We start from the raw sequence: 8,701 nt of genomic DNA on the forward strand, positions 1-8,701 counted from the left end.
CAAATACATCCTCAGTTTTTGAAAGAGTGTGAAATAACAAACTGCATAATAACGTGCAAGATGCACACAACTTAAGAGTAAGCAGAGAGCGATTCCTGACTTTTCTATGAGCAGGTTTTATATGCACAGAAAGACTGATAAATATGAAGATCAATAAATTGCCAAGTGCCAAAAAAAAATAAGAAATAAGAAAAGAAGAAGGGTACCATATGTAAAACTTTATGCTTCTGTTTTGGTTAGGATACAATACGTGTGTTTGTGTGTATTTATGTGTGTCTGTGTGATGTACATACATGTGATGTAAGATACTTCTTTTTTGTGAGACAGAGTCTTGCTCTGTCACCCAGGCTGGAGTGCAGTGGTGCGGTATGGGCTCACTGCAACTGCCACCTCCCAGGTTCAAGCAACTCTCATGCTTCAGCCTGTGAAGTATCTGGGACTACAGGCTCCTGCCACCACGCCTAGCTAATTTTTATATTTTTAGTAGAGACAGGGTTTCGCCAGGCTGGTCTCGAACTCTTGGCCTCAAGTGACCCACCTGCCTTGGTCTCCCAAAAGGGTGGGATTACAGGTGTGAGCCACAGTGCCTGGCCTAGGTACTTCTTTCATAATTCCCAATTTAAACCTCTGCTGAAAACCTCTGCTATTAATTAATATATTAGGGTTAGATATATTTTTAAAAGCATATCTTCTGATGTTTCAAATAGATGTGTCATTATAAATATTTTCTTTGATTTCTTAATTTGGTACTTTATTGTTTTTATTTCTTTCCCTCTCCTCTTACACGCTGTCTCCTCATTCAGTTAGTTAATGAACCTCTTTCCCTCTACTCTACACTTCATATTCCACATTATTTTAAAACAATTGTGCCATTTAACAGAAGCATATGAAATATTTTTCTGTATCACATTGTAGTGTTTTGTTCTAGCTCAAGATCTTTAGCTTTTAATTTTTTTTTATTTCAACCACAAACCATTTTTTGAGCATGCACCAAAAACATACATATCTTCTTTATGCATTTCATATTTAATTATACCATGATTCTATATAAACTGTAAAACGTTCAAAAATAAAACTTCAAAGAATAGGATACAATAATGTAAGTGTAGAAAATCTCCTATTATTGCTTTCATACCAATAAATTATTATGCACATCCCCAAACATGAGCACAGTCTCAATTTGGAGGCCACTGTACAGAGAAGCCTCAGATCTTGTTTTCTCCAGAGTGACCGAGAGTCTTTTTATTTAGACTAGTTCATTCGGTTGATGTTCTATAGAGAAAAGGGAATTACTTCTGGTAAGTACAGTTGCCTTTATAAAAGTTTTTAGATAAACATTCCTAAGGTAGCATTTATATAAAACAAATTGTACTAATTGCCGTATGGTTCAATACTCAATAAGTTTTGACAAGAATAGATACATATAACCATTATAATTAAAAATGGAACATTTCTGTCCCCTTGAAAAGCTCTGTCATTCTTCTTTGCTGTCAATCCCAGCTCATCTTCCATTCAAAGCAAAACATGAAGACCTCAATTACTGGGGTTAAGTTTTTTCTCAGTCAGAAAAACTTTCATGTGCCTCATAAAAATCAGGAACAAATTCAGAGCAGTAGCACCCAAATCTTGCATGAGTGAACACTTAAACAGAAGCACAGGACTGAAACAGAAGGAAGAGTGTGGCTTCAGGACCCGGGTGTTGGCCATCATGAAATGAGGAAGCATAAACAATAGTGATTTCTCAGGTTGTTGAGATAGATAGAGTAATATAAATGTGGCATACCTTGTGTTTAGTTCAAGAACTATAATCTAGATGTAACACCTGAAAATAAACTCTTTTATTGATATTCTACAGGCAGAAGAAATAAAGATAGCAAACAACACAGTAGTGACAGAATTTATCCTCCTTGGTCTGACTCAGTCTCAAGATATTCAGCTCTTGGTCTTTGTGCTGATCTTAATTTTCTACCTTATCATCCTCCCTGGAAATTTCCTCATCATTTTCACCATAAAGTCAGATCCTGGGCTCACAGCACCCCTCTATTTCTTTCTGGGCAACTTGGCCTTCCTGGATGCATCCTACTCCTTCATTGTGGCTCCCCGGATGTTGGTGGACTTCCTCTCTGCGAAGAATGTAATCTCCTACAGAGGCTGCATCACTCAGCTCTTTTTCTTGCACTTCCTTGGAGGAGGAGAGGGATTACTCCTTGTGATGTAGCCTTTGACCGCTACATCGCCATCTGCCGGCCTCTGCACTATTCTACTCTCATGAACCCCAGAGCTTGCTATGCAATGATGTTGGCTCTGTGGCTTGGGGGTTTTGTCCACTCCATTATCCAGGTGGTCCTCATCCTCCGCTTGCCTTTTTGTGGCCCAAACCAGCTGGACAACTTCTTCTGTGATGTCCCACAGGTCATCAAGCTGGCTTGCACCGACACGTTTGTGGTGGAGCTTCTGATGGTCTTCAACAGTGGCCTGATGACACTCCTGTCTTTCTGGGGCTTCTGGCTTCCTATGCAGTCATCCTGTGCCATGTTCGTAAGGCAGCTTCTGAATTGAAGAACAAGGCCATGTCCACGTGCACCACTCATGTCATTATTATACTTCTTATGTTTGGACCTGCTATCTTCATCTACATGCACCCCTTCAGGGCCTTACCAGCTGACAAGGTGGTTTCTTTCTTTCACACAGTGATCTTTCCATTGATGAATCCTATGATTTATACCCTTCGAAACCAGGAAGTGAAAACTTCCATGAAGAGGTTATTGAGTCGACATGTAGTCTGTCAAGTGGACTTTATAATAAGAAACTGAGAAGGAGGAATTCTGGCTGGAATTCATATCATTCATTTAACAAGTCCTGTTTTTCACTGAGTACCTCCCATTTGCCAGGTACCACTGTAGGCAATGGGGGAGAGTTATGCATAATGAGAGAATAAACTTATTTTATTTAACGAATATAAAGGAAACCCCAGAGTGGTTGAAGTATAATGAGTAAGTGTTAAGAAATTTAGGAGTTAAGTTTTATGTGACTGCAAGGGTCTTTTAGTCTGAGGTAAGAATTTTTTCAAATCTTAATTGTGGTAAGAATCCATTTTAATGTTTTAAGCAAAGGAGCAGTCATCTACAATGCTTTCCTCTATTGGTTAGAGCAACATCAGCAAGATTTTAGGCAGAGATTAATAAGCTGTAAAATATCAAAAACCAAATGTATGTGGCAAGTATGTTCTGAAAAAGACTATATATAGTCTTTTATACATAAATATATTAAAAATTATATATATTTTAATGTTTTTATATATATTTTATAAATATGTATATTTACATATACATATAAAATAAGTAAAATATTTTTATATATTTATAAATATATATTTTTATACATTTAATCAATATATAAATAAATATATATTTCCCCCCCAAATTTGGTAGAGAGATAAGAAAGGAAGCCAATTTGTTTCATGGTAAAATGTCATGAAATTATTTCACTTATTTTTTCTTCAGAGCTTCACGATGATTATTAGACATTATCAGATATTTAGTACTACATATTATATTATAGATTACATAAATCACTCCAGTTATTTTCAACATAGTGAAGCAGCTTCGTTGTCTGGGGAAATACCTGCAGTTCATTGTCTCATGCTGTGCAGATTAATGACACGGACTCACACATGGAGCGGTTTAAGGAGCAGAAAGTTTATTGGGCAAGAAGGAAGAGAAGAGCTCCCCCATACAGAGGGAGGCGGGCTCTGAATGGAATAACCCCACTTGCGGGGAAAGCAGTCAGTTACATTGGGAGGCTCAAGGAGGTAGTGTCTGATTTGCATAGGGCCCAGGGGATTCGTTTGACCAGGTGTGTCATTCACACAACCCATGAAAAGACTGGACCTCCCACCCTAATCTTTTATTCTGCAAATGCGGCTTCTACCTGGCTGTCGCCATGATGCCTGCACATGTGCTTTACTTGGCTGGTGCCATGACACCAGCACATGTGGCAACAAAGTAAAGTGAGTGGGAACAGTCATATTGAGTGGACCTGTCTCTTAGCCACCTGCATTTACTTCTGCAAGCCTGTAATTTACATACCTAGGCTTCCAGCATGGCTTTTCAGGCTGCTTTCTGTTAGAAAAGAAGTAGTTTGGGGGCTGCTTTTTTATTAAAAGGAAAAGCCTTTGCGAGGACTCTTTTACCCTTTCTAGCTGCCTAAAAATAATTTCTTAATAACTCCTGTATTAATAGTGGGGTCTAATGTGAGAAATTAGGTACTTATAAAATTTTTCAAGTATAGAAGACCATTATTTATGCTGGGCATCTATTACAGAAGTTGTTGCCAGAAAAACACTGTAGAACTAACCTGCTAGGTGACCTATCCCTGCAATAACCAGGAGGCCGAGAGGACAAGAAGCCACTTTCCCAGCTCCTGGCTCAAGGAACACATCAATCAGCCACGGTCTGGCATGAACTGAATTGTAGAGAGCACCTCTCATGTTATTGTCTCTCTAATTATTTTTTCTAAATTAAATTTTGTATGAGTATATTTGATAGAATCTGTAATGCTAGTGGCAAAAGTCTTTGACAAACCTGTCTATATGTTGACAGCTTCTTCAGAAAACAAACAAAAATGGTGGTAAAATATAGGATAAAAAGTTTGCAATCTTGGAGGTGAGAAAGGCCATTGAAGTTTGACAAAGAAAATGAAAATAAAAAGATACATTAAATCTTGATGTCTTCTACATATTTTGATATGTAAAAATGAAAAAAGTTTATATGGGCAAAAGGCAGAAAAATGCTGAAAATATTTCTATGGCATATAGATGTGGAGATTATTTTCTGCACGATTATAAGGTTTGCATGTAAATTGAATATTTTCTCCCTACTCCAAGACTGTATAAGAGGACAACCATGCATAAAAATTAAAATAAAAATTACTAAAAATTGATATAAATAATAAAAATTTATCTAATACATAAAGAATTTGCTTAAATGAATATGAAATAGGTACATAGAAGGAAATGTGGGCAATGAACAAAGGAAAAAATGAAAAGGCTTATAAGCATGAAAGTAAGCTTACCCTTAAAAATCAACCACAGAAATGAAAACCACTGATTTTGATTAGCATGTAGGATAACGTTGCTCATGTATTATCAATAAAGAAGTACAGAATAGGGAGAGGTGCCAGAAGCAGCTATCATGTGCCACTCATGGAGAGGGAGACAGGGTGGTGAGTAAACACTAGCTCTTCAAGTGGCTCATCCATGAGGCCATGTTAGGATTCATCAAGGAAGCAACTGCAATCGATGGACAGCAGAAAGGGGCCAGGCAGGAAAGCAGTCCACCCAGGATTGGCATAGAGCCAGGTGAGGCTCCCTACCATAGGGAAAGGGTGAATAAGAACCTCCTGGGACCCACACTTCTGCCATGGGCCTTTGCAATCCTGGCACAGGAGATCTCCCGTGACCCCGGGGGGCCTCCAGACCAACACAGAGAGATTACTTGAGTCTGGACAGAGCTGCAGCTAGGCTCACCTGGAGCCCCATGAGCTTTGGGGCCCTGAGCACCTTGGTGCCAGCTGCCATAGCCCCACCAACAAGGGAGGCCAGCTCTCTTGCATGCCTCTAGAATAGGGGCTGCATCCACGGTGCTGAGGAGCAGACTGACTGCAGGCCCCGCTTGCTTTAGCAAACCAGGCAAAACCCACTAGCCTGGGTTGCCCACGCAGCCACCCCACTCTCACCTGAACACTCAGGCCAGTCAGGGCTCTCCATTTCTTTGGGAAGGAACTCCCAGAGGTAACCAATAGGCCTGAGATTTCTGGTACTGTGGTCTCCCACATGCTGCCCTCAGGCTGGGGAGGGATCGAAGAGCACAGGAACTGTCCTAGACCTTCAGCAAGGCAGCTGTCATACGAAGAGCTGTCATACAGAAAAGCGGCCAGATTATTTTCCACGTGGGTCCCTGTCCCAGCTACTCCTCACTGGACAGGGCCTCCCGGCCTGGGGTCCCAGCACAACCGCCCCACCCCCACTTGATCTTTCATTTGGCAGTGGCCCTGAGTTTCTCTGGGATAGAGCTCCCAGAGACAACCGGCAGGCTCTGTGCCATCACCAGCTGAGTGTAAGGCCCTTCCTTGCTCCCCGCAGGCTAGGTAGGGAACAAAGAGCCTGACTGCAGCTGTCCTAGGGAGAGAAGGCCAGATTGTCTTCCTTGCGAGACCCTGACCCCCGCTACTCTTCACCAGACATGGCCCGGCTTGGGCCCACAGCACAGCCTCCCCACCCCTGGATCCTTCCCCTTGGCAGTAGCAGTAGCTCTGGGTGGAGTTGCTAGAGGCAGCTGACAGGCCATCTGCCACTGCTGCCACCCCCCAGGCTAGGGAGGGAACAAAGAGCCTGCTTGCTGTGCTTGCACATCCAGCATGCCACAGCTGCTCTATGGAGAGGAGGCCAGACAGTCCCTGCAACAAGCCCCCGATCCCTCTGCTCTTCACTAGGGAGGGCCCTGGGCTTGGGCCCACAGCACAAACGTCCCATCCCGGGCTGGTCATTCTGATTGGCAGCGGCTCTGAATTTCTCTGGGGTGGAGTTCCCAGAGACAAATGACAAGCCCTCTGCCACTGACACCGCCAAGGTCCCGTCCCCTGCTCCCCCAAGCTGGGGAGGGAATAAAAAGCCCGAGCTCGCCCCAGGTCCCACACTAGAGCGGGAAGAGAAACCCACACTCTCAGAGCACTGAGAGGGGTAACCGCGTGGGTTCCTCGGCTGCTGTGGGAGCAGGGTACGCCTGGAAAACGTATGGCCTATCTCCCTGCGGTGGCCTCTGCCTGAGGGAGCCCCGCAGCCTGGAACACCTAGCAAAAGAAATGATGGTGCAGTGCTAGTGACCGGAGGGGCTTCCCCCAAGGCTCAGGAGCGGACCTGGTGAGGGGGTCACTTCTTTCCCCGCTGTACTGGAGACCAGGCTGTAGATGTGAGGAAGTACAAGGGAACCACAGGCCTGAGCAAGAGCCTATCTACTGTCCATTACTCTTAAGCGACGTCTACTGGATTGCAGCCAAAACTGCTACAACACCAAAAATATTTTGCTAATATCCCCCAGTGAAATCAAAGGCAAGAATCCAGCCACAAATAAAGACCCTGCACAAAGCCTTGGCTATCTGAAAACATTCAGAAACAAAGCCAAGTGACTATACTCAAGTTACACCACAGGTAAAGGAACGCCAATGCTTCCAGATGAGAAAGAACCAGTGCAAGAACTCTGACAATTCAAAAAGCCAGTTTCCCCATACCTCCAAATGAGTCCACCAGACCCCAAGCAATGATAATATTTTTTTTATTTGCTTTCCTTATTTGTCTGCTTGTTTTGGGATAACTTTTACTTTTTTAATTTTAATTTTTTAACTTTTAGGTTCAGTTATACATGTGCAGATTTGTTATATAGGTAAAATTGCTTGTCACAGGGGTTTGGTGAACAGATTTATCACCCAGGTAATAAGCATAGTACCTGATAGTCAGTTTTCTGACCCTCACCCTTTTGCCACCATCCAATCTCAACTATGCCCAAGTATTTGTTGTTCCCTTCTTTGTGTTTATGTGTATTCAACGTTTATCTCCAATTTATAAGTAAGAACATGTAGTATTTAGTTATTTGTTCCTATGTTAGTTCACTCAGGAAAATAGCCTCCAGCTCCATGCATGTTGCTGCAAAAGATATGATCTCATTCTTTTTTATGACTGCATAGTATTCCATAGTATACTTGTACCACATTTTCTTTATCAAGTTCACCATTGATGGGCATCTACGTTGATTCCATGACATTGCTATTGTGAATATGCCTGTGATGAACATACTTGTGCATATGTTTTTATGGCACAATGATTTATATTCCTTTGGGTATATACCCAATAATGGGATTGCTGGGTTGAATGCTACTTTGGTTTTAAGTACTTTGTGAAATCGCCACACTGCTTTCCATAATGGCTGAACCAATTTTTATTCCCACCAGCAATGCATAAGCATTCCCTTTTCTCTGCAACCTCGCCAGCATGATCTATTATTTTTTGACTTTTTAACAATAGCCCATCTGACTGGTGTGAGATGGTATCTCATTGTGGTTTTGATGTGCATTTCTCTAATGATTAGTGATGTTTAGCATTTTTTTCATATGCTTCTTGGCAAAGTGTATGTCTTATTTTATTTTATTTTTTTTGAGATGGAGTTTCACTCTTGTCACCCAGGCTGGAGTGCAGTGGTGTGATCTCGGCTCACTGCAACCTCCACCTCCTAGGTTCAAGAGATTCTCCTGCCTCAGCCTCCCCAGTAGCTGGGATTACAGGCACCTGCCACCATGCCTGGCTAATTTTTGTATTTTTAGTAGAGACGGGGTTTCGCCATGTTGGCCAAGCTGGTCTCAAACTCCTGACCTCAGGTGATCCACCCGCCTTGGCTTCCCAAAGTGCTGGGATTACAGGCGTGAGCTACTGTGCCCAGCCTTGACAACTTTTTTTTTTTTTTTTTTTGATGGAGTCTCGCTCTGTCACCAGGCTGGAGGGCAGTGGTGCGGCCTCGGCTCACTGCAACTTTTGCCTCCTGGGTTCAAGCAATTCTCCTGCCTCAGCGTCCCGAGTAGCTGGGACTACAGGCATGCATTTGCAAATATTTTATCCTATTCTATAGGTTGTCTGTTTACCCTGTTGATAGTT

At 42.4% G+C, this 8,701-nt stretch overlaps 1 pseudogene; it reads left to right on the forward strand.

The window, feature by feature from the left end:
* OR4N1P (olfactory receptor family 4 subfamily N member 1 pseudogene) lies at positions 1,774 to 2,938 on the forward strand (annotated as a pseudogene).

This window comes from Homo sapiens, chromosome 14 (genome assembly GCF_000001405.40).
Source record: "Homo sapiens chromosome 14, GRCh38.p14 Primary Assembly".
NCBI classification, from domain to species: Eukaryota; Metazoa; Chordata; class Mammalia; order Primates; family Hominidae; genus Homo; species Homo sapiens.